Here is a 25,049-nt window from a genome sequence, read left to right as displayed (position 1 = left end):
GTTGCTCAGAGTCCAGAGGCCAGGAGTTCCCAAGGGTGCAAACTTATCTTCTCCCTAAGAAACATACCCTACTCCAATCCATTTTTCCTTGCACAGGTGGTATTCCTAAACCTTCCTTGTTCCTGGGACAGTGCCCTCCACTGCCCCATCTGCAGGTGACCCTGGACTTCCTTGCTATGAACTTTCCTTTTAAGCCAGGGCTGACTCCTTTCATGGTAATTATTTTTCCATAGCCAGCTTTAGAGTATCTGGGTGTTTCTGCTACTGATAAAGCCAAAGACAGCACCCCCAAAGCCTACTTGGAGAAGATCCCATCATCTTACTGTTCCAAAATGTGCATCTGTGATCTGACTCTCCCATTCATCTCCATGCTATGGGACAAGGAAGGTGACAGTCTGGTGGTGGCTGATCTACCTCACAAAGAGAGAGATTCCTGTTCTTTCTGTCATGTTCTATCATCTCTCTCCTAATAACCTAGTTAGTTTGGCTTGGTAGAGTCTCCCCAAGCCAAAGCAATTGCCTCCTGCTTCCTCCTGGTTCTCTCTGTGGTTAGTAGCTTGGACAATATTCACCTCCCCACTTGGGTTTCCAGCATCCCCTCCCTTCCCCCACTTCACTCCCTGCTGGCACACTCATGTGAACCCAATGACCTTTAATTTAGCTTTGCAAATCTCTCCAAAGGACATCCCAAATTTTCATATATGGACAATTAACTAATTCTCACTTCACTCATCCTCCAACCTGCTCGTTCTTGCAAAGATCCCAGTAGCTTCTCCCCACTTCTCTACAAAGTCTCAGTCAGAGAGCCCTCGCACTTAATAAATTTCTGCAGTGTGCTTATTAGCGCCTTGTAACGTAGCCGCCTAAATAATTAAGACTAACCCACGCGTGTCAAATTAAATGAGCCAAATACATTGAGAAATTGCCTCATTCTCAATTTCTTTTATTAATCAGGTTTTTTAAAACTTCTTTTCCTGCTCATTTGCAAAAATCAAACATAATCAGTGAGACTCTTAGTTATTATATCATAACCACTTGTCCACACAGCCTCTCCTCAAGCAGTTGCCCTGGGGGGTGTCCTAGTATGTGGCATAGGAGAGGTTGAGTTCTCTATCCAACTAAGACAATCCAGAGTCAACAGATTGCTCACACTCTCTAAATCTGTAAGAGAATTGTTCGCCCTTCCATTTGCCTGAGCGTTCAGTCACAGTCCAGAAGACCAGCTGGAACATTGGCCTAAATCCATCCAGTATCTTCTGCCCTCCCTACTCAGTGCTCCCCTGCCTCCCTCCCAAGCTCCTGGATTGAGTTTGGGCTTAGTCCAGGAGCCCAAACTCCCTTTCTCATTAGGAGCCATTGCTGATGTGCTTTAGATGGGCATACGAAGTCAATGGCAAAAATATAATAGGAATTGTCAGCAATTGTATCATTCTAATGATGAACAATGCGTGTGCAATTACAATGGGCTGGTTAACTCTGCCTGTCGTCAGCGTGTTGAGGTTTCAATACAGTCTCCCTCGAGAGGCTATTGTTCCAGGGAGCTCAGCACCTCCTCGCAGCTTGTACTTCCACTGGCCCCCTCCTGGAAGGCTGCATTCCTGCCTCTTGAAGGTGGTTGTTAGAAAGAATCCACAAATACAGTAAGTAAACATCAAAGGGGCTTTGATCCATGAGGCCTGCGACAGAGCAGGAGCCCCTGAAGAAAGGGCCAAGGCCTTGAATGAGGGAACTTAACATCGTCAATTTGGGTGCCTGAGATGTAAGACCGTTTGAAGTGAGGGCGGTTTGGCTAAGCCTTCAGACGCCAGTGTGGAGGGGAAGGAAGAGAAGTGAGTGCCTTTGGAAACAGTGCCCTCAGATCTGCTTCTCTGCTCTTTACTGATAGTCAATAAACCCCTTTAAAGAATCAGGAGATCAAAGCCAGGGACCTCCCTGGGCCGTGGCGTTCTGCCACCTCCTGCCATGTTTTGTTTTTCTCTAGGGCAAGAGCCCCTGAGCTTGACTTATCTGTGTCTCATGGGCCCTGCACTCTCTTTCATCCTGCTATGCTTGGTGGGTGGACCTGGGCTGCAGACGGTGGATGGAAGAGGAGAAAGAGGAATGACCCGCTCCGTCTATCCTCTTGAGCCTAGACACTGACTGGCTGGGTTCAGGGAGGCAGTCGGTGTCGTGGGAGAAGGTGCTGTGATGCATCACTCATTGGGACCCTCTTTCTCTGAGAAATCAAAGGAAGGAGCAGGGAGGAGCCCAGAAACCCTGGCAAGGGCCAGGAAGAGCTGCAGTCATATTCCCTCTTCCAGAAATCAAATTCCTTATCTATTTACCAAGTTTGTGGCAGCTGACACATTTGTAAGACTTCTATGCTACAAGGTGGGGTGGGGGTCTAAGACAATCGTGGGAAGTCATTTAACATGGTTGAACCTCAATTTTCCCATCTGCATAATGTCAGTTGCAGTGGCCCATATGCCCACCTCAGTGAGTTGTTTGGGGGTAGAGGGGGGTCAAAAAAATTAGTGTGCTATTGCTTCAGGATCCATAAAGTGATTAAGATGAATCAGGATAAAGCACAAATACCAGAGAGGAAAGCTTGCCTTCTTGTGAGGCAGATGGACTCCAATTTAATGCTCACACACACAATGGACACTGATTTACAAAATACTGTGCAAATAAAAAAGTTATCTCTTGCATTTGCTACCTGGAATTGTTATTCCATCTTGTTTTTCCAACTGGGTCAAAGCCCTGTGGAGTCCGTGTCTCTCAGCTATCTCGACCCCTGTGCTCTAAGTCTACATTTCATAAGTGCTTGATGATGGTGCTAAATTGGGCCTTGATATAGGAAGGCACAGGAATCTCTAGCACCAGAAACGCACCCTCTCCAAAAGGTAGAGAGAGCTCTTCTGCCTATACCTTAACCTCTGTGTCGCCCCGCTGCCCTAAACTCACGCAATCACTTCATCCTCCTGAGTCACCCACCATGTCTGGTTGCACTGTTCCATCCTAGACACGACTGGATAGATTCTGCATCATCCCTGGCAGGTCTGGCCACAGTCCCAAGTTGATCTGAGCATAGTCCCCAAGCCTGAGATACAAAGGGCCTCAATAACCCAGAGTTATGTTTATGAGCATGGACTCAGAGCCAGACTGCCTAGGTTCAAAGCTCTGGCTTTACCACCTGCTAGCTCTTTCATCCAGTGCCACTAACTTCATATATCTATAAATGGGGATGATAGAAAATGGGGAAACATCCTTCACAGGGTTGTTATGAGAATCAAAATGAAGAATTGCTGGCTTAAACTTATGCCTGGAACATAACAATTTCCATATAAATGTTGGCTAAACAAAAGCACCTCTGTTTATAAGAGCAACAAGCTCCACAGCCCCCTGCAGAGGGCCCCCCAACAATGCCTGACCTGTTCCCATTCCCAACTCACCCACCTATGCTTCTCTTCCAGAGCTGGGCCTCCAGAAGAGAGGATGCTGTCTGGTGCTGGGCTACATGGCCAAGGACAAGTTTCGGAGAATGAATGAAGGTCAGTGAGAACCTCCCCATTGTCTCGGGAGTAATCTGGAGGGAGGAAGCTCTCCCCTACAGCCACAGGACAGAGGAACCAGGAATAAGAACCTGGGACCTCTCAGAAGGGGACAGTGGGAAGACCAGTTTGGTTTCCATGAAGCCATTTGTACAATCACATGGGGAAGCATAGTGAATGCCTGAAACACAGGATGCTGATTCAGGGGCATTTTCTTTATGCAATCTTCCCTTCTCCCTTTGTGTCTCCTACTTCTCTTCCTCTCTCTTCCCTACCATTTCTTCCGCACCCCACCCCACAGCCAGCCCAATTAAATCTGCTCCTATTTTCATTTCTAATCCAGACCTCTCTACTTGCCTCCTCCATCACTCATGTTTCTTGAATGCCTGTTGAATAAACAGCACTATACAGGCACTTAGGAGAATACCAAAGAAGAATATGGCAATGTCTTTATTCCCAAAGAACTTACCCTAGGAAACCTGCCCCCTTTCCCAACTCCACTGACCCTACCCCTCCCTCTTACTCAGAGGCCATTCTGTCTTCCTCTTGCACTGGCTTCATTGGGTCACTGAAGGCTTGAGAAACGTGTTGACATTGGCATAGAGGCTGGGAGGAGGAGTGCTGTCACTTACGGGTCTGCTGTAATAAAGAACCAATCCTCTCCATCCCTAGCCATCTGTCTCCATGCAGCTAATAACCCTCTCCATCAGATGCCACAGACTATTTGTCAGGATTCAAAAGTAGATAAACAATGGCTGGGGATGCCATTTATTCATTAAAGTCAGACAAATGAAGCCTTGGCTCCCACCAGCCATGCTTGCCATGGGCTGGACCCCTCCCCTTCCAGGGCCCAGGGCCCATGTCTCCTCATTCCCATTCCAGCAAGAAGGAGGAAGCTTCTTTCTACCATCTCTATCCCCATAGCATGGTCTCAGTGCCCTCTTTCCAAGCTCCTCAGCTGTCTCTCCTCCCAACCCCGACCACGACAACCACATCCCCATGCGCTCCCCATGCCTGAGACTTTGCCAGCTGTGGACCTGTTTCCAGCACCCATCATGGTGACAATCTGACAAGAGTTAGGCCAGCACAATTAAGCACAGGAAGTGATCACCTCCCCCATTTGCTGCCTGCCTGAAGCCAACAGCATCAAAAAGCTACTTCCCATTTGTAGGAACCCCATGGCTGAGTACAACCAGAGTTGGGGGCCGCATTTTCTGTGTCCTGCTAGTCAGTTGCCTTTACTGACTTTTCTCTTTCTCAGCCTCCCCTTCCCTCCCCAACACCACTGCCTTGACAAGACTGCTAGGCAGTAACTTCTAATTTGTGGGAACTGACAGCGTGCCTCTGTCCGTGGTGCTGAATAGACATGTTCTCTTGCTGGCGATGCTCATTAGAGAAGCTCGAAAGAGGTTTGTAGGGATTGGGGAAGCCAAAAAGTCAGGAGCTGGGCTGGAATTGAAACCCATAGCTCCAGATATCTGACCTCAGCTTCTGGGTGGCTGAGGAGATGAGGGGATGGGATGCAAGCTGAGCCAACATGTGTGATGAGTTAGAAATCTCAACTAACAACTCAGAGACAGGGTAAGAGGAGGGTGAGGCAGTGGGGCAGAGGAGAGACACAGGTGGGTCAGCTTTGGCTCTGGAGAGCTGGAAGGCAGAGGTGAAGGAGAGGGAGGGCTCTGGAGGGAGGAAGCTCCTCTTCTTCCACTCCAGCCAGCCTTGCTGCCCTAAGTACCACATTATACATTTCTCTCTCTCTAAAGCTCATACGCCCAAACTCCAACATGTCTGCAGATAAGAAAGGCATCAGAAAGCATGCGGAGCTGTTTTATATTTATAATTATCTCATACCAATACTCAAAATAATTATAATTTCCACATATTAATAATTAAAATGGAATAGCAGCCATGACATACATCAAGAAATAGAAATCTCTGTCCATGCTACACAACACACCTTGGTATAAATTGAACAATTGGTAAAATAGGGAAAAACAATTATTTTTCTCCCAGTTGCTAGGATTAGTGAGATATTAGAACAATTAGCTTCTTCTTCCCTTAAAGATAAGTTGATGATCATTGTATTTCCCATTTAGAATAAATATAAAAGACCTACTTGTGCTGTATTAAAGCATATTTGTTCTGTTTAACAGTATCTAATAAGGTGCCTGTCACCCAGGGAGAAGTGCTTCCCTATTTTATTTGTTTTCCTGTTAATTTGGTGTCCTTTTATTTTCTTCTCTCTCCACTCCTCCCTCCTCACTACATTCCAAAAAATAACAGCTTGAGAAGGAGCAAGAGGAAAATAATGAATGAACAGGAGCTTTATAGATCTGGGGTTTATCATAAGTTAGAGTAATTGCAATTGGTGCCGTTAAACTACACAAAGCAATAAAAAGAAAATGCTATTCAAAGATCATTTAAGGAGGCACGTGATAGTCAATGAGAGGTTTGCTCTATTTGGGAGTGCTTAATAGCTTCGTGGATAGAATCTGCAGTCTTTGCAGGAATGGAGGTGGTTGGTAATATATGGAGAGTGTATGTGTGTGTGTGCGTGTGTGTCCTCTACTGTGTGGACCCAACACAATTGAGCCATCAAAAGGAGATACAAACAGAAATCAACAAAGGGCAGGCAAGAAAGGAGGAAGTAAAGACAGACTAGCCATAACAATATCACATTTGTTTGAGATCATTGTCTTCATGTGATTAAGCACATGTGCTTTATATAGGAACTGCTGATGAGTGATCATTCAGTTATTCATCAAACAGTCATTGAATACCATAAAAATAATACCAATTTCTTACAAGTGCCAGAATTGTTCTAAGCACTGGAGCTATAAAAATAAGACACAAGCCAGGCACGATGGCTCATGCCTGTAATCCCAGCACTCTGAGAGGCCAAGGCAGGCAGATCACTTGAGGTCAGGAGTTCAAGACCAGCCTGGCCAACATGGTGAAACCCTGTCTCTACTAAAAATACAAAAAAAAATAATAATAATCAGCCAGGGTTGGTGGTGCGCACCTGTAGCCCCAGCTACTCAGGAAGCTGAGGCAGGAGAATCGCTTGAACACAGGAGGCAGAGGCTGCAGTGAGCCAAGATCCTGCCACTGCACCCCAGCCTGAGTGACAGAGTGAGACTCCATCTAAAAAAAAAAAAGTAGAGTAAGACACATTTTCTGCCCTCAAGGAGCTCACAGTAAAAATACATCTCAGTGTATGTGTCACCTCCACAAAGAGATCCTGCCTTCCATCTACCTAAATTACACAGACACCCTCTCCCTGCACCCTGTGCTCATCACAGCAGCTGGTGTGTGTATCGAGTGGCACCTATCATGATGTGTGATTATTTATTGGTCTGCTTCCTCATGTGCTGTCAGTCCCATGTAGAGAATCAGCTGGAGGAGGGCAAAGACTCCTGTTCCTTCCTCTCCTCTCCCTGGGCCTTCGCCCAGTGTCTTGCACATAGGGAGTAGTCGCTCAACTTTCATTTAGGTAATTAACTAGGGCCCTGAGTGACAATGGAGGAATGTACAAAGTCCCCACAGGTGTCAGGTAGGTATTGAAAAGGAGCGCCTCAGATAGAGCACACAGATGTGGAACAGTCCACAAAATGGTCTCCCTGTTTTGGGTGATTCCTAGAGTCTACCTTGGTGCTCACTCTCAGGCTTTCTTCCAGTTCCAGTGCTACAGCCCCTTCCTGGGAGTAGGGTCCAGGCAAGTCGTGGAAGCAGGGCTGGGTGAGGAGGCCTTCCCCAGGGGTAGTTTCCCTTCTTTCTGTACCAGCTCTCCTTCCTCACCCCACCTACTGCCAGCCCATGCTCTCAGGACATCTTTAAGTAGATCCAGTTTACTCTCACTGGTTCCTCAGCCACATCTCCAACACACACATGAGCATGCACACACACATACACACACAATGCACACACCTGCATGCATATGTATACATGCACACATGCATGCACACACCTGCACACATGTATACACATGCACACATACACCCACATGTGTGCACACACGCACACAACCTTCACCTCCCCTTCCTGGCCCTCCCCCTTTATGACCTCTCTCTCCTGGAGATCCAGACCACTCACCTTCTCAAAGCACATGGCTTCCCCAGACCTGATCCTATTCCCAGGCAGAGTAGAAGGCTGTCACATGTATCAGGGGAGGGGCTGTGCCTGCCTCAGAGAGCTCAGGCCTCCTCTATGTTAGACCTGTCAACAACTCTAGAGATTACAGTGCAACCCAATAACACAGCATGGCCCAAGAGCATGCAGCAACTTGCCCGGGGCCCATATGAAGTGGCTGGAAGAGCCAGGACCACAGCCCAGGGCTCCAGACACCCAGGGCTCTTAGACTTCTGGAAGAGGAGGCTGAGACCATGAGCAGAGGGAAAGCCTCTAACACTTCAGCTTGGTTTCATTTTTCAGGGTGGCTGGAAAGAGAGGAAGTGGCAAGGCAGGGAGAAGAAAGGGCAGAACACAGGGAAAACTTGAGTTGATTTGCAGAAAATCAGGGGAGACCTGGAGTGAGGGACACAGACCAGAGAAGACCATTCCTGGGGGACCAGAAAAGCTGGCAGGCCACAGGACTCTTGAGAAGGGGAAATGAGGAAGAGGATATTTAAAGGAGGGAAGAAGCAGAGGCACCGAAGTTTTGACCTCCCCTTCAGCCATCCCCTTGGGGCAGAGGGGGGCCTGCACAGGAGGGTACTCCTCCCTCACACTGGTGCCTTCTTGGGCTGCCCATCAGGGTGGGTGTCGGTTTCCGTGGACTTTCAGCATTGCAATGATGTCTGCTTCAAGAGACCAAGGGAGAGCAGAAATGCCTCTGGGTGCTGTCCCTTTCATCTTTCAGGACGAAATACTTGTGAGTGATTAGCAAAGGCAGCTTTTGCTGACTGGAGACCTCTACCCTGTGTGGGAAGAGCTGGAGCACCCAGGAAGGGGAAAGCTGGTTCCATAAATAACTAGCAGCCTCTTGCATGGCCCACAGCTCCCGAACAGCACTGTGGTCCCAGTCCAGGCTCTGTGTGCAAATGCCCCTCCCCCACAGCACCTGTCCTCACTTCCCAGCCTTACAGGGGAGTCAGAGCCCTGGGAGGTTGAGAATCTCATTTCTTCGACAGCTCTAAAGTTCTTTATGATGGCGTGAGAGCCTGTTCTTTATGCACCCTCGTACACTAATAAAAAAATGAGTCTAAAGCTTCTACTGTTTCCTCGTATAGAAAGAGAGGTGCCCCACAGCTGGGATGTGTAGTGGGAGGAGCACTTAAGAGTGAGGAGCCGGCTGTGTGAGCTTGGGCAAGTCCCTAGACACTAAGATCTCAACCTTCTCATGTGCAAAATGGAATCATGTTTCATAAGATGACCTGTATGTCTCTAAAATGTGATGATTCAAAAATCTATCTTGGATCTCAACACCCAGCCCACACCCTGTTCTCACAGCCCATCCCATAATTTTAAATGTCTTGGTCACCAAAGGAACCAGTACAAAAAAGTCAATAGACTGGCTTTCCTTGGCAGCCTCTGAAGGTGGATCCGTGTTTCTTTCTCCCATCTGTCATTAAGGGTGAACTCAGGCCATATCAGCTATATGCTGGGTGGCAGGGAAAGAGTCGGGCAGGCCTGTGGGATGAGCTGTGCTTTTCTCAGGGCAGAGGGGAAGCAGCAGGCCAGGGTCCTTGGCCTGGGGACCTGACCCAGGGATGAGCAGGCCTCCCTGCTACCGGCAGCACTTCTCACTCTGTTGCAGCCGTACAGTCTGGCTCGCGCTAAGGGCCACAGTCATTTTCCTGAGCCCATTCCTCCACTGCCTGCCGAGCCCCCGGGATGTTGGCTAATACCGTCATTTTGTTAGTTGGGGCTTTGGGGTGCATTTTTTCTAAATTCATTTTTCTTACTGATGTGTTTTCTTCCACTGGGGCTGCAAAGCCCGTTATTTGTATAATATCCCTGTTTATTATTTATGGCAAGAGTCAGATTTACAGGGCACTTTATGATTGTTATTTATTTCGCTCAGTGTCTTGGAACAAGAGACCTGCCGTTTCCACTCTCCAGCCAGGATCTGAGGGAACATTCCAAAGCTTTTTCTCAGCCCATTCCTCCAGCCACCTTTCCTACCTCCTACCAGGAGTCCTGCCTCTCTTAGACTGTGGACCCCTAAGCTGCAGACCCTGCCAAGTTCCTTTTTTCTTTTTTTCACCAAAACAAGGTTTCATTCTGCTAGAGTGCAGTGGTACCATCGTGGCTCACTATAGCCTCCAATTCCTAAGCTCAAGCAATCCTACCCCAGCCTCCCAAGTAGCCAGAAGAACAAGCATGCACCACCATGCCCAGCTAATTTTTTAAATTTTCGTAGAGACAGTGCCTCACTATGTTGCCCAGACTGGTCTCAAACCCCTGGCCTCAAGCAATCCTCCCACCTGGGCCTCCCAAAGTGCTAGGATTACAGACAGGAGCCTCTGCACCCAGCCAAAGTTCCTTTATAACTTCCCTTTCCCTCACACTCATATCCAGTCCTCAGCAAGTCCTAGGGATGTTATCTCCTGAGTGCCTCCTGTACCCACCCTCCTCTCTCCATCTCATGCCACCACCCTAGACCCTGTCCCCAGCCTCTCTCCCCTGGACTGCATCAGGGCTCTCCTAACTGGCTCCTTGCATCTATCATGCCCAATCCCCATGCCCAGGTCGTTTTCCACACTTTAGCCAGAGCAGTGTTTCGAAATGCAAATTTGACCATGTCATGTTCCTTTTGAAAATATTTCAATGGCTTTAAGAAAAAAATACTGAAGGCCGGGCACGGTGGCTCACGCCTATAATCCCAGCACTTTGAAAGGCCAAGGCAGGTGGATCACCTGAGGTCAGGAGTTTGAGACCAGCCTGGCCAAAATAGTGAAACCCCACCTCTACCAAAAACACAAAAAATTAGCCAGGCGTGGTGGCACACACCTGTAATCCCAACTACTTGGGAGGCTGAGGCAGGAGAGTCACTTGAACCTGGGAGGCGGAGGTTGCAGTGAGCCGAGATCGTGCCACTGCACTCCAGCCTGAGTGATAGAGGGAGACTCCGTCTCAAAAAAAAAAAAAATGCTCACATTGTTAGCATGTTCTACAAGGTGCCACGTGATCTGGTTCCTACCTACCTCTGACTTCATCCTACCCCCTTAAACACCCTGCGCTCCAGTCACATGGGCCTTCCTGCTGCTCCTCAAGCAGGGCCCCTGTCATAGGGCCTGTGTCTACCCTGCTCCCTGTGTCTACCCTGCTTGCCACGCTCACCCCATCCCCAAACCCTTCACCTGGTAATTCCCGCTCATCCTTCAAATCACAGCTCAAGTCTCTGCTCCAGTGATGCCTCCACTGACCCATCCCTCCTCAGTCAAGATCCAGTTCCTGTGTCACATGCTCCCGTAGAACCAGATCCTTCCTTTCAGAGCTCTGAGTTCAGTTTGTACATATACATTCATATTGCAATTATTTACTAATGAGATGGGATAATTCCCTTAACCTTGACCCTCTTTGTGGGTGGGAACTGGAGTGGCTTGTTTCACTCAGCCTACCTCTGGCCACTGCTTGAGAGAGGGAGTGTGTGAGCAAGCAAGTGCAGGAACCAGAGGGAATGAACGCTGGAACCGGCCAGTCACTCATCTCTGGCAGAAGCAGGCTCTGTGCGGCCCCACAGCAGTGTCCAAGCTCCTGCCCTCTCGGCACCCAGCTTCTTGTCCAGTGTCAGGAAGAATCAGGTCACATGAACAGATTGAAGGGTAGTGTATGCGGAGGATTTTATTGGGAGATGGAAGGGGCTCTTGGCGGAATGAGGAGTTGGAAAGGGGATGGTGCAGGAAGAAGGCAATCATTCCCTGAAGCTGCACTGTCTGAAGTTAGCCTCGTCTATCCATAGTCTCCGATGCCCAGTTGCTGCCCTGCTCACCACTCAGCCACTTGTATCCCTGACGCTCAGCCGCTTGTGTTACTCTGCCAGCTGAAGTCTTTTCATGGGCACAGGATAGGGATGTGGCAGGCCAAAAAAGCAACAATTGGGAGAAAAATTGAGTCACCTGTTTTCACTAAGGGCTGCAGTTCCAGGCTTAAGGGTGGGGTTTAGCTGGGAGCCCAGTTATTTTGTGTTAATAACACCTGTCTCCCCTACCAGTCAGTTGGCTCTGTTTGGTCTCCATTAGATCCCAGGAGCCCAACACAGTGTTTGCATAGATGTTGTCAGCAAAGTGAGGACAGTGACCTTCTCTGCCCCTAGTCAGTAGCTCCAAGATGCTGGGACTGGATAATTTGACAATCATAGACTTTTAAAAGAAACATTGGCAGTCACCTGGAGAGGAGGAAACCAAGACTCAGGAAAGGGATGTGATTCATCCAGAGTAACACAGGCAGCGGGCACTTGTCTTGGTCCCCAGAAAGTTTACCTCCTCTTGGGAAGACTCCATATACTTCTATGGAGCAATTCCTGGGGCTTATGGCAAACACCTCTGAGCACCTCCCAGCAGCAACTGCTAGGACTTCGGACTAGAGAATTTCCACTTGAGGGCATTTACTGCCTTGCTATGAAACCTTAGCTGTCTTGGAAGGTGGGTGCGCAGGACCCACCTGAAATACTCATCCTGTCTTCGGTGATGTCAGAGAAACATTCTAATGGGGACAGCAGTGCCCAGAAGAGTACATAAAATGGAAATGGTTTCTAGAGGATCATGCTGCCTGTGGAATTCAAGGACAAGACACTCTCAGGCAGGGAGCTTCTTCTCCCCCTAGAACTGACTCTGGAACTGTGTGAGGTGCTGCTGGATTCGATCAACACGTGGACAGTGCATTATGAACAGCTCTTGATTGACTCAGGAGCTGTTTGGTTGACAGACAGCAGTTCCAATGTGAATGGACACCAACCTGTTTCGAAGGTTACTACTTTGATCAGACAAGGTAAATACAGGTCTGCATATGAGCTGAATTGCATGCTGTTTTCCTAATAGTGATGGAAAAAAATGAACAATGGTAGAGGCCTCTGTGTTTAGGTTTTACTGAATCATGGGCAGTGACCAATGGCCTGGCCGAGTGGCCAGGCAGAAGGGCAATGGAAACCTGGCCTTTTAATGGGATGCCCATGTGGAGCACAGCCCTATGGAAATTTGAGGGGTGCATTAAAGCAGAACAAGTCAGTTCCCATCAGAAGAACTCCCTTCAAGGTTCAGAAGGTGACGGGAATCGACACGCAGATAGCCCCAGCTGCTCCCTTGAGGTGGCCACCTGGGCTCATGAAATGGGTAGATATGGAGGCACCGCAGCAGTGTAGAGATGGGCTGAATCTGGACATGTTCCCTTTGCACCCTCTCAGGCACATAATGCCAGTAAGAGCTATTCTGTCTGCCAGCAAGAGAGACAGAGACTGCCAGTGGCTATGTGGAAGATTCCCTAGTGGGAAGGCTCTAAACACAGCTAGCAAGTGAGACTGGTGCTGCGGGTCTACAAATGGGTCTTGCCTAGAATAGACACTGACTCTGGAGTGGGCTTTCCTTACTCAGTAGAAGATAGAAGTGCTCAGAGTGTCATTTAAAAAAAAATGGAACAGAAGATATTGTATGCATTTGGACAGCTGACCATCATTTCTTCAGACCAAGGGACACACTGTAAGCCCATAATGTCCAGCAATGGTCAGAGAGATCTCCTTAGAGTAAGAATTTGATAGAGAAATACAACAGGCTATTGAAATATTGGTTGTCTAAAATGGGGACATAAAAGCATGAAGGGCTGGCTTGCACGCCTTCACGAGTGTGCTCACACACACCATGAGTGGTACTAGTGTCCCCACTAGACTTTTTCCTCTGTTTTTCTGGCTGATCTGGGGAAGAGGATGTGGGAAGGATGCTAGATAACTATGCAATTCTTGCTAAGGAAGGAGTACACTGGTATAATGACTATTTTTTTCTTTCTTTCCCAACTCAGCTAAAAAAAAAAGCTTTTCTTGGCCTGGCACGGTGGCTCACGCCTGTAATCCCAGCATTTTGGGAGGCTGAGGCGGGTGGATCACCTGAGGTCAGGAGTTTGAGACCAGCCTGGCCAACATGGCGAAACCCCGTCTCTACTAAAAATACAAAAAAATTAGCTGGGCATGGTGGCAGGTGCCTGTAATCCCAGCTACTCAGGAGGCTGAGGCAGGAGAATCACTTGAACCCGGGAGGCAGAGGTTCAGTGAGCCGAGATTGTGCCATTGCACTTCAGCCGGAGCAACAGCAAAACTCTGTCTCAAAAAAAAAAAAAAAAAAAAAAAAAAAAAAACTTTTCTCTCTCCCCTGTGTGATGCAGTGATCCCGGGACCAGGGCTGCAACTACAAGTGCTGGAAACAGAGATAACTTCTAAGCAAAAAACTGTCACTGTGTTTTTAAACCTTATGTCAGAATTCCTAGGGCCCTGATGGGGGTGGGAGGTGCCTTCACCCTGTCTAGCAAAATTAGGGCTAAGAGTAAATCCAACTAGGGGGCCTGGTGGTAAGAATAGTCCACTCGTTTGGAACTTACGTAACCTTCCCGGGTATGAATGGTAATGGACTGAGGGGAGGCACTGGCTGGACTAGTGCTGCCAGCAGCCATCTGGACCACACAGTGGCCGAACCCAATGTCCCTTCCAAAGGTGGAAAAGTGCAGGTAAAAAATAAACGACTAGTGGAGAAAATGAGGAATAATACCTGAGAGTAAAGAAACGAAAAATGGGTTATAAAATGAAGGAAATCCAATACTACATTAACAACTGGAAAGAGTCTCGAACCAAAAGAGGACATTGTCTCTTTGCTTGGTATCCCCAGATGCCTGGAAGGGGGAAGCTGTGTTTGCTGGGACCACTCCTGGTTTTGGAATCTTTTCTTCAAATCTAAAGAAAGCCTGCAGGCTGGGCACAGTGGCTCACGCCTGTAATCCCAGCACTTTGGGAGGCCAAGGCGGGTGGATCACCTGAGGTCAGGAGTTCAAGACCAGCCTGACTAACATGGTGAAACCCCATCTCTACTAAAAATACAAAAATTAGTCGGGCATGGTGGCGCATGCCTGTAATCCCAGCTACTCAGGAGGCTGAGGCAGGAGAATCGCTTGAACCCAGGAGAGGTTGCAGTGAGCCGAGGTCACACCATTGCACTCAGCCTGAGAAACAGAGCGAGACTCTGTCTCAAAAAAAAAAAAAAAAGCCTGCAAACCTGAGTGGCCTCACCCTGGGAGACATTCATGCAATACAGTGCACTGGACTAATTGTTAAATGATCATATATATTCTTTTGCTGTAAGGGATCAGTGGTTGAAAGTCAGGGCATGGCCTGAGGCGTGATGATGTATCTAGACATGTTTCTATATAGAGGCGCATGGGGTGGGGGGATTTCATCCACGGTTCCCGGCTCATAACTCCCATAGCCCTTGCTACAGTCTTTTGCCATATGTTGGGTGTGTTAGGCCTCAGGGGCAGGCCTCGGGAAACAGGATCTCTCTCCGGCCCTCCTTTCCCCTGCCCCATCGCAGGACTCTAACCTTTCACCACTTTCTGATTGTGGGTCTTAAGACCCTTCCCTGAGAGAGTCCCGCCTCACACCCTAGGGGAAGGAATGCTTCCATGAAAACCCAAAAGGACTGAGTTTCGGGAGCTTCTGGGCAGCTGAGCATGTAAAGCTTCCTGGAGGGTGGCGCACTCAGGGAGGGCGTGGAAGCTCCTGCCCCTTCCCCCCAATCTCTTCATCTGTATTCTTTGTAATATCCTTTAGAATAAACTGTAAACATAGGTAAGTGTTTCCCTGAGGTCTTCGTGCCACTCTAGCAAATTAATCAAACCCAAACAGAAGGTCTTGGGAACCCCCAACTTGCAGCGGGTCTGCCAGAAGTTCTGGAAGCCTGAACTTGTGACAGGTGCCAGGGTGTGGGGGAAGTCTTGGGGACTGAGCCCCCAGCCTGTGGGATCTGACACTATCTCCAGGTAGACAGTGTCAGAATTGAATTGGAGGACACCCAGCTGGTGTCCGCTGCTCCCACCTGTTTGGCCACAGAGGTCTCCTGTGTGGACTGTTGTGGTGAGTGTAGAGGAAAAATGCAGTTGGGGAGAGTTTTCTCCAACATTTCACACCCAGCTGTTTTTGTGGCTGTTTTGGTTCTGGTTTTCCTTTTATCATTGCGACTAATATTCTTTTTTTTTTTTTCTCTCGAGACAGAGACGGAGTTTCGCTCTTGTTGCCCAGGCTGGAATGCAATGGCATGATCTCAGCTCACTGCAAGCTCCGCCTCCCGCGTTCAAGCGATTCTCCTGCCTCAGCCTCCTGAGTAGCTGGGATTACAGGCACCCACCACCTCACTTGGCTGATTTTTTGTATGTTTAGTAGAAACAGGGTTTCGCCATGTTGGGCAGGCTGGTCTCAAACTCCTGACCTCGGGTGATCCACCCGCCTCAGCCTCCCAAAGTGCTGGGATTACAGGCGTGCGACTAATATTCTTAACGTAACCCTGTGGCTTAGGAGTAGGAGAAATCTAGATTCAAATCCCGGGTGTAGTCAGGGCAGGCTTAGACCCCTATCATTACAGATTCTCCAGGCCAGAAGGGACCAAAGGTCATCTGGTTCCATATCCCTGCCAAGTACCAGTGTGTGTAAAGACTGTGAACACGGCGGAATGCTCATTTATTCACCAACCATGTGTCCAGTACCCGCTCTGTGCCTGGCGCTGTGCATGTAAAAACACAGTCCCTGCCCCCAAGGATACCACTGTCTTGCGGGGAGAGACAAACACGTCAGCAACTACAATACAATGTCGCAGTTGCGGTAACCGGGTATGAATAAGTAGCTATTGGAAACAGAGAAGGAGAATCCAATCACACTGTAGGCCAGGAGAGGAGTGTCCAGCATGGCTTCTGGAGAAATAAGCCCTGTGAGATGTTTTATTCTAAGAGGCTGTTGCAACCTATGCTTGAATCCCTCCAAAGACAAGAAACTTGCAGCCTGCCGAGGCGGTGGGCAGCTCCTCAGCCAGGCTCTCCAAACGCCACACCGCTTCCACCCCAGGAGGCTGCAGTTTTCGCATTCTAGCTTTACTGATGACGAGGGGACCCAGTGACTTGGACAGCAGCCACTGGCAAGATCCTGGGGTCTCCACTATGTCAACTGCACCGGGGAGGCCTCCTTTCTTCTCTCTGCTTCTTCCTTCCATCCCCAGCCAGCCTCAAAGGCTTCATCACAGAATTCTTTGAGTGCTGAGACCCTCCCCCAGCCCTCTCCCCAGGGTCTGAAGAAAGCCCCAGAGAAGTTGGAATAAACGAAGGCGCTTAATGGCTTGCGGTGCCATAAAGTTTTTAGAGCCGTGCGCTGGAATGAGCAGGTTCAGGCTGAGATGAATTATCCAGGGCTTTTATCAAAGGGAGTCAATAAAAACCTGAAGGAGCTTGCCCCACCTCCACAGAGTGCTCATGTCACAGTGCCGGGCCCTGTGCTCTGGAAGTAGGAACCAGGGGGCCGCGTTTTCCCCCTAACTCCATCTGCTTTCTTCCCTGTGCCTTCCTTTCTGAAATGTATTCGTTTCTATGGAAACTGTGTTGTTACTGGTATGGGAGGAGTTTAATGACATTCAGAAGTGCCAAATCAAGTCCATTTATATAACGGTTTGAAATACACATAATGGCCTATGGAATATAGGACACGGTGACAGTTTCAGTAACTGTGTACCGAGTGTGGGACAAATAGAGCAATGGAATAGTCCCCATCTCCGAGTCAAATGCACTAGGAATAACCACTATTCTTAGTACTAAAGAGCAGCACTTCTCAACCATTATTCATAAAAGGATCTCAAAACACAACACTAACCTGTTCTCAGCTCATAGAGAAAGGACCCTGGACCTCAGCTCCTCTGTGCCTGCCAAGGTTTGACTAAACATTAGGTGGGGAAGGTACAGAGGTGTGAGTGTGGCTGTGGATGCTTCCAGATGTGGAAGGGAGCAGGTATTCTATCTCGTTGCTCCCAGGACCCACCCACGTGGTGAGCCCACTGACGTCATTGCCTTGATTGACAGTCACCCCTGCGCTGTTCCTATGGCTCATTTCTGCTGGATTCAGAGATTCATCAGCACCCACTGTGTACGCAGAGATGAATGACACCTGGAGGATGCCCTTATCTTACCTCAGGTTCCCCTGGAAGCAGGCCCTAAGCAAGAGCGCTAGTGTAGTCATTCCTCATGAAGGTGCAGAGGTGCCAGCGGGAGGGTTGGAAATTGACATGGGAAAGGAGGCATCGGCATGGGGGGACCCCAAACCTGCTACCACTATGGGCAGCCAGAGCCCAGTCCCAGTAAGAAACTCTGAGAAGTGCTATTGAACACCACCTCACAGCTAGGGCACCCAAGCGGTGGGGTATTTCTGCACCAGCTCCTGTAGGGCATGGGTGGAGTGCTGCTGGGTGAGGGTGTTGTCTCCCAGCAGGTCTGGCCTGCTCTGTGTGAGGGCACAGTGGCCTCCGCAACTAAAGAGAAAGCCCTCAAGAGAAGGGGTCCAGACACCGGCAATGGGAGGTTGGCCTGAAGACGCGGGATGGTCGGGCCTGCAGATACAAGTGGGCACTGAGAGAGTCAGCAGCAGCCTGCAGAGAACTTCAGGTCCATTGGGGAGATGGGCATATAATAAAATGGCAGAAGGCAGGGCGATGGGAGAACTAAAGAGAGGTACAGATGACAGGCTCGTGGAGGACTGGAGGTGGGAAGCTATTTGTTCTGACTGAGGGGCTCCAAAAAAGCAGGGGAAGAGAGATGGAGCTGACACACAAAGACGAGGGCCAAGGAGGGTACTTTTGCACACTTGCACCATCTAATCCTCACCACGTCACAAAGTGGGTAGTGTTATCCACATTCTGAGGAGGAAGAAACAGAGGCTCAGACAGATTAGATCATCACCTAAAGGCACACAGATGTTAGAGTAAGCCAGCTGAACGCCAAAGCCTGGCCTTCTTACTTCCACCCTGCCTCGGGAGCTTTGTGTCTGGGCGACGAGGATAGGGTGACTTCCCCACCATCGTCCAGGGCAGACTTGACTAAGCCCCTATTGTGGGTCCCTGTTGATTTTTCCCCATGGCCAAGGACTGCCGTCCCCAAATCTCCCACCATTCACTGACCACAGACCCCCCACTCCGCCACTCAGGCGGCCCCTCTGATCCTGCCCCAGATATGGGCTGGGCTGACTGTGCCTAATATTGAGTGAATTTTCTGCACTGCCCAGAGGGAAAGAGAGGACACAGCCTGAGGAGGGGAGCTTCAGCTCTAGTAGTCCCCAGCAGTGGGTCCCCTACCCCGTCCTTACCCCTGCACGCTCCTCTCCCAGCCACGCTCTAATCCTCACTGCCTCCAAACACACGGGGGAGGAGGGATCACGCGTACACACAGGCAGCATTTCTGTAGCATGTTAATAGGTTTTCCGTCAGATGCAGCCTTCGTGATTAGACACGGTGGGGAGAAGCTACATGAGACCTAACAAAATGAGAGTCTTTCCTGCAGAACTTCTCAGAGACACTAATACACCAAAGGCCATGGTAAGCCACCCAAAGGGGATATGACTCACAGAGTTCCCAAACTCATTTGACCACAAAACATTTTTCCTGCAGCATGTGTCAGGACTAGTGGTCCCTGAAATCCACTTTGGGAAATAATGTTTTAGAGCCCAGATCTGCCACTAACTGGTTGTGTGAGCTTTGTCAAACAAGAGTAAATCATACCTGCCTTGTGGGGACCCACCAAGTAACATGGGTGAACACTCTTTATAAACTTGTAAAATACTATACAGATTATTTATTTGTGTGAAGCAAACACACTCAGTGTCCCAGAGAACCTTTCCTTGGAGGTCAAACAAACAAATAACAATAATAATGTTTTTTAAAAATTAGTTCTGTTCCTGTCTCAGTATATGACTTTGACCTTGATCTCTCTTGACCTCTATGTTCTCATCTGCGAAATGGGTATACTCATGATGCTAGCCCTCTTTCCTCCACGCATTTGTTGTAAGGAGAAAATATGCATCACGATTGCGTGATGCTTTGAAAAAAAGTATAAAGCACCACAGGATGCAAGGCTTTATTATCAGAGATCCGGGTTAATAGCCCCAATTCAGTCCCATTTGTGCTGAGATCAAGACAAAAGGTGTGCTGGGGAGGGAAGGGGCTAGTGAGATAAATAAAAATGACTAATAGTCTTCATCCATATTTATGATGTTAGGAGACTTGCATGAGCATGTCACCGAGGAGAGAAAATGAATATTTTATGAGTGAATGCTGAATGTTGTATTAAGATGAAATGGACAGAAAGCGGCCCGCTTGCTTCTGCCCCCAGGTTGTGCTGGGGAGGTCAGCACAGGCTCTGTGCCTGGTCTCCAAGGAGCAGGGGCAGCTCATCAGGAAGGATGAGGTCAGTCTCCCAGCACAGATTGGGAGCTGTCCAGGGTGGACTGGTGGCAGCAACCTTGCCCTGGGAGGTAGGAGAACTAAGACCCCATTCCATCTACCAGCTGGGAAGCCTTGGGCAAGTTACCATAACCTCACTGGGCCTCCATTTCCCACTGTAAAATGAGAAGATCAACCCTGAACAATTGTGAGGTCTAAATCCAAGCTCAGCTGTTTGGAGGAGGGTTTTGTAATGCACACAAGTGGGAAGTGTTATTATTCATGGATACATTCAACATTTATTGAACATCTACTATGTGCCAATCACTGCCACAGCCCCTTATTTATCATATATCCTGTGTGCCAAACACCACAGTCATTACTTTACACACATCACTTCATTTAATCATCACCAGAATCTTGAGAGGTATCTATTATCACTCACATTTTCCACATAAAGAAAATGAAACTTAGGAAAGACAAATAACTTGCCCAAAGCCACACAGCTAGGAAATAGCAGAGCCCAGGACTGTATGAAGCCAAAACCCTGAGTTCTACATTAAATGGCCCTTGCCTCAGGTACTTCTGCAGCGCCAGTGGGGGCCCTGCCCTGCAACCCTTGAAAGCTCTTCCCTGTTCTGCTCATGCTCTGTGCTTCCTACCACCAATGCCCTCCAGAACCAGAAGAGAAAGCCTTGCCACCTTCTGTCTGGGCCCTCATGATATCCTCCTTTATTCTCCAACCCTGCTCCCTTCCTTCTCCCTGAAGGCCTGTTCTCCATAATGCAGTCATCCAGGAGTTCTTTATTTTATTTATTTTATTTTATTTTATTTTATTTTATTTTTAAAAATTGAGACAGGGTCTCACATGTTGTCAGGCTGGTCTCGAACTCCTGGGCTCAAGCAATCCTCCCTCAATGGCCTTCCAAAGTGCTGGGATTACAGGCGTGGGCCACCGTGCCTGGCCCAGGGACTCTAATTTCCATCCCTATTCATCTCTTATCCCAGGCAGGCATCAGGTGGTATAAAGACTGAACACCTCCCACCCCTGAAAGCAGCAAGGACAGATGGGGCAGTGCAGGGTGAAGCTCAGCCATGTCTCCCCGATCCAGATAGATATCTCTGGAGGCAAAGACGGCTCCCCTTGGTGCCAGCTCAAAGCTCCTGGCTCACTCCCGTCCACCACACAGCACGAGGACACCACTATCTCTGCAAATCTCTTCCCTATAGGGCAGTTTCATGTTATCTTGGCTCATTCCTTCTCCCGAGATGAAGAGATTGTTTTAAACCTGCCGCCCCACCAGTTCTGCTCTTGGCTTCCAATGCCATTAAGTTTCATTATAACAAATAAACACCACAATGACATTTATAAGTTATCACTGAGCACAGAAGCACAAATATGAAGCAGATAAACTGCATTTGATCCAAATAATTACTGCAGGCAATATTGGGCTTAGTCTGAGCTGGCAGCCGGGTACCAAGTAATTTATTAGATTGCGTAAGGCAATGTTGCACGTTGAGTTTTTCATTATTGTGTCTTCTCCCCTCTCTGTGGCCTAAATAGGTTAGAGGAGTTTAGACAGTGCATGGCCAAACAAAGACAGACTTTGCTCAAGCAGATTAAGGCCAGGAATGTCGGCCAAGTGTCCAGGAATGGCTGCTTCCCAGGCAGCAACGGACTTGCAAGAGAAGAAAGGGCTTAGGCGATTATCTTGATGCTGCCAACCAAGGACAGCTCCCTGCACTCTCCACCCACTGGCCCAGATACAAAAAGCAGCCCCGTGGAGGGAGTAAATAAATGACAGGGCCCATTTGCTGTCCTGCATGGAGCCCCCAGGACACCGACTCTGGGTTCCTGCTGCAGACTCTCAGCCAAAGACCCTCTATGGAAAGTCCCTTCCATAGCCCCAGGTAGCCCCGGGCAGTCCCACCCCCAGTCCCAGACCTATCATCCTGCAATAAATCAAGGGAAGGAAGCAGTCTGCCAGCCAACTCTGCAAAACAAAGAGAAGAGAACTGGCTGCAAGCAGCTGCCTCCCTGCCAAACCCAAACTCATAAAGTTTGATTCAAGGGGTTACAATACCTCCCATTCAGAATCCCTCCTGCCCCGTTCTTCCAGCCTTAGTAAATTACCCAATAAGCAGCAAGGACCTGCAGTTATTGTGCAGTTAAATGGTATTTGCCCCGTAAATTCTGAGCAGAGTACTAACCGTGATATACAGTAACTAATTACAGACATGAATGCTCTCCCCAAGATGCCGCATGTTACCAAATATCGTTGCGTTTAGGAGAGGGGGGTTGAAAGCTGCTCTCTTCTCTCCAGTGAAGCCATGAGTAACTCTCTTATTAGAGGAGCTGTCGCCACCTCCAGGGGCACTCCATGCTGGAAAATAGAGTTGTCCTGGGGAGCAGACAGGAGTGGGGCCACATGCCCATGTGCTGCCCCCTGACCCCGTGCCCCAGCAGAAGGGCCTAGCAGGTACCGGCTGGTCCTCCTTGGGTCATCTCACAACAAATAAGTGGCTCAGCACCACGGTGGCAGTGGCAAAGACCCAAGGCTCCAGCAGGGCAGGAAATGGAAGTCATTATTCACCCAGCCCAAGGCCGAGCAGAGAGAGCTATGGCTAGGGATCGGCCTTTGCAAAGGGCTTCTGAATAAGGCCACACAGGATTAGGATTAAAAGTGGTGCCAACGACTTTTGCCCTGAAGTATTGGTGACAGAGCTGATCTCAGCCCCAAGGGCACCATGGGAGAGGTTTCCGTGGTCTTCAGGAAGGGCAGGGGCTGTCCTATCGGCTTCCCATCAGCTTTATAGCTGTTTTTGGAGCTCAGCTGGGGGCAGGTAGGGGGCACAGTAGTGAGTCTCTGCTTTCTGAAGAGGAAACCACACAGATCAAACACCCTCTGCTGACCGGCTACTGTTGGGGGAAAAAAAGCCAGGCCTGGAGTCAAATGGCTCAAACCCTACCTCTACCACACCCTGTGACCCTGGATGTGTTAGTTAACCTCTCTGAGTTTCCTTGTCCGTAAAATGGGAAAGATTTTCTATTTCTCAGGATGGTGGATATGAGCCAGGGCTACACCTGCTTCTAAGGAGTTCTGTCCTGCTGGAAAAGCAGAAAGCTTCCCCTCCTAGGCTGGGCGTCTCCGGCAGTCCTCACACTCCCTCTCCATCCTTTCAAGGGGCTTCCAGCACAAAACCTCTCCTTGAAACATCTCTACTTCCAACAATCAGAGAGACTAGGGCAGTAATGGCAAGTTAGTTTTGCTTCGTTCTCTTTGATTGATGCAGACCAGCTGAGGCTTTGCAGGGCCTCTGTTTGGGGGGTGACAGGAGAGGCAGAGTGGAGTAGAATAGGGCAGAATTGGGAGGGTATATTCACGGGGGACATCTGGCTTGGAGCTGTGATATTCAAGTCTCTACATGGGGGCTGATGATGGGACCTGCTCCACGGGGTGCTATGAAGGTGGATTAGGTAAGATAATGTATGTGAAGTGCTTTGTATCGGAGTTAGTTGTGGTTAATATCCCAAACCCACCAGAAGACGGCCCACAATCCCAGGGCAGTGAGAAGTATCACTTTTTTAATTAGGACACATATATAGTCAGCACTCAAGTATCTGTTGGCAAATTGTCCCCATTCCTGGCAAATGCTATCACCAAGTTTGCTTAATGAAGTCCTCTGTTAACATTTCACAGCTTCTTATTTTACTCTTATTTGCATAAGGTCCAAAGGGAATAAAAGTCCTTTAAAGGCAAAATCTGTTAATATCCCCCTCCCTTCCTAGATAAGGTGTGAGCCATAAAGACAGGAGATGGGGAAGGTGGGGTGCACCTGACTGTAGCTTTGGGCCAGTCCCAGAGGTGATGTTCTCCCCTCAGCTGAGTAGGAGGCAGAGAGGGAGCCCCACCCTTGGGTTGAGTGTTTTTTTTAAGTATGAAAAATTCCTAGAACATCAAACATATCCATATTCAAATGTGAATATCAAAATGCATTCCAAAGTCGAAAATGAATGTTACTTAGGATTATTCACTGTTTTGGATTGTCCATCATTCTAGATTATACACACCCTGCTCTTCTCCACTAACAAAGATAATTAAGAGTTGATTGTATTTGGTCTCCAAGAGGGGAGAAACCCAGGACGTTGCCCCAAGATGGTCTGTGTCCAGTTGGGAACAACTCCAGGAACCATGAGAAGACTCCTCTATAAGCACCAGGTCTGAGCTGTGATTCTCCATGCAGGCTCAGAGAGCAAGACCAAGGCACCTCGTGCTTCAGACCAGCCTGCCTGAGTCACTCAGTGCACGCCGGGTGGGCCTGCTTTCACACCGTCAGTGGGATATAGCCACGTGGTCCTTCACAGGACACCTGAAGAGCATCAAAACTGCACAGGGCCTTTGGAATCCTTGAGCATTGCACAGAGGGTCCTGAGGGCCCGCTGCAGGGCTGCCGAGGGCAGGACTCGGTCCTTCCCGCGCTGCCTCAGCTCTGCCTCCACCGTTTTATACACTGGGATTCCCTGTGAGACTTCACTGACAAAAAGGGTTGCATGAACTTTCAAAAGGTGTGAAAATGCCTTCACTGTGCAGTGGGAACATCAATGCGCACCCCGAGAGAGAGACAGCCACTTAATCAAGGCCACCCAGTGACAGAGCCTGAACTAGAAATAACCCAGGCCCACAAGCCCGTGCTGTGGGCACACAACAGTGCCCTTAGGATGTGGCCCAGAAACCGCCTGCAGAAGGATGACCCAGAAGCTATTAAAATGCAGATTCCTTGACCCAGCTCAGAGCCACTATCCCAGAATCTCTGAGTTGGAGCCCAGGAAACTGTTATTTTTAGCCAGTCCCCCAGGTGATCCTCATGCACATGGAAGTTTTAGAACCGTCTCTGACTGACAAGGCTATAGCAGCATAAATGATTATTTTGTTTACTTTTTTTAATGTTTAGGATATAGATCTGAGCCCCCAAAAGGCCAAGTGTCCTTGAGAGACTTGCTTTCACTTCTTTGCACCTTGATTTTATTATTTTCAACCTTAGGACCACCCCCCACCCCCGAAATAGGATTTTGGATAAGTTAGAACATCAAGCATTAGGGTTGGGAGGAAGGCGCTTAAACCTTGCATTTTACAGATAA

General features: G+C 48.8%; 1 protein-coding gene and 1 long non-coding RNA gene across 18 annotated transcripts in view, besides 3 other annotated features; one reads left to right on the top strand and one right to left on the bottom strand.

Moving 5' to 3' along the window:
- The window catches only part of KIRREL3-AS1 (KIRREL3 antisense RNA 1), a 68,564-nt gene extending 46,026 nt beyond the window's left edge, over positions 1–22,538 (bottom strand). Inside the window, exon 1 of the long non-coding RNA NR_174952.1 lies at positions 22,121–22,538. This is a non-coding gene — a long non-coding RNA (KIRREL3 antisense RNA 1). The remainder of the gene's footprint in view (positions 1–22,120) is intronic.
- The window catches only part of KIRREL3 (kirre like nephrin family adhesion molecule 3), a 580,037-nt gene that overhangs the window by 437,030 nt on the left and 117,958 nt on the right, over positions 1–25,049 (top strand). For all 17 annotated transcript variants that reach the window (NM_001441257.1, NM_001441258.1, NM_001441262.1 and 14 more), the window contains one exon: positions 3,453–3,530. In NM_001441257.1, coding sequence (NP_001428186.1) covers positions 3,453–3,530 — 78 coding nt within the window. The remainder of the gene's footprint in view (positions 1–3,452; positions 3,531–25,049) is intronic.
- Positions 1,331–2,016: an enhancer, noted in NCBI's record as "OCT4-NANOG hESC enhancer chr11:126434244-126434929 (GRCh37/hg19 assembly coordinates)". NCBI's record gives its function as "activates a minimal SCP1, AML or CMV promoter by ChIP-STARR-seq in naive H9 embryonic stem cells {active_cell/tissue: H9 hESC(naive)}" and the evidence as "EXISTENCE:reporter gene assay evidence [ECO:0000049][PMID:30033119]".
- Positions 21,889–22,393: an enhancer, noted in NCBI's record as "H3K27ac-H3K4me1 hESC enhancer chr11:126413867-126414371 (GRCh37/hg19 assembly coordinates)". NCBI's record gives its function as "activates a minimal SCP1, AML or CMV promoter by ChIP-STARR-seq in primed H9 embryonic stem cells {active_cell/tissue: H9 hESC(primed)}" and the evidence as "EXISTENCE:reporter gene assay evidence [ECO:0000049][PMID:30033119]".
- Positions 22,394–22,900: an enhancer, noted in NCBI's record as "H3K27ac-H3K4me1 hESC enhancer chr11:126413360-126413866 (GRCh37/hg19 assembly coordinates)". NCBI's record gives its function as "activates a minimal SCP1, AML or CMV promoter by ChIP-STARR-seq in primed H9 embryonic stem cells {active_cell/tissue: H9 hESC(primed)}" and the evidence as "EXISTENCE:reporter gene assay evidence [ECO:0000049][PMID:30033119]".

This window comes from Homo sapiens, chromosome 11 (genome assembly GCF_000001405.40).
Source record: "Homo sapiens chromosome 11, GRCh38.p14 Primary Assembly".
NCBI lineage: Eukaryota > Metazoa > Chordata > Mammalia > Primates > Hominidae > Homo > Homo sapiens.
Note: the sequence above shows the minus strand (reverse complement) of the source record. Positions and strands in the feature narration are given on the sequence as shown.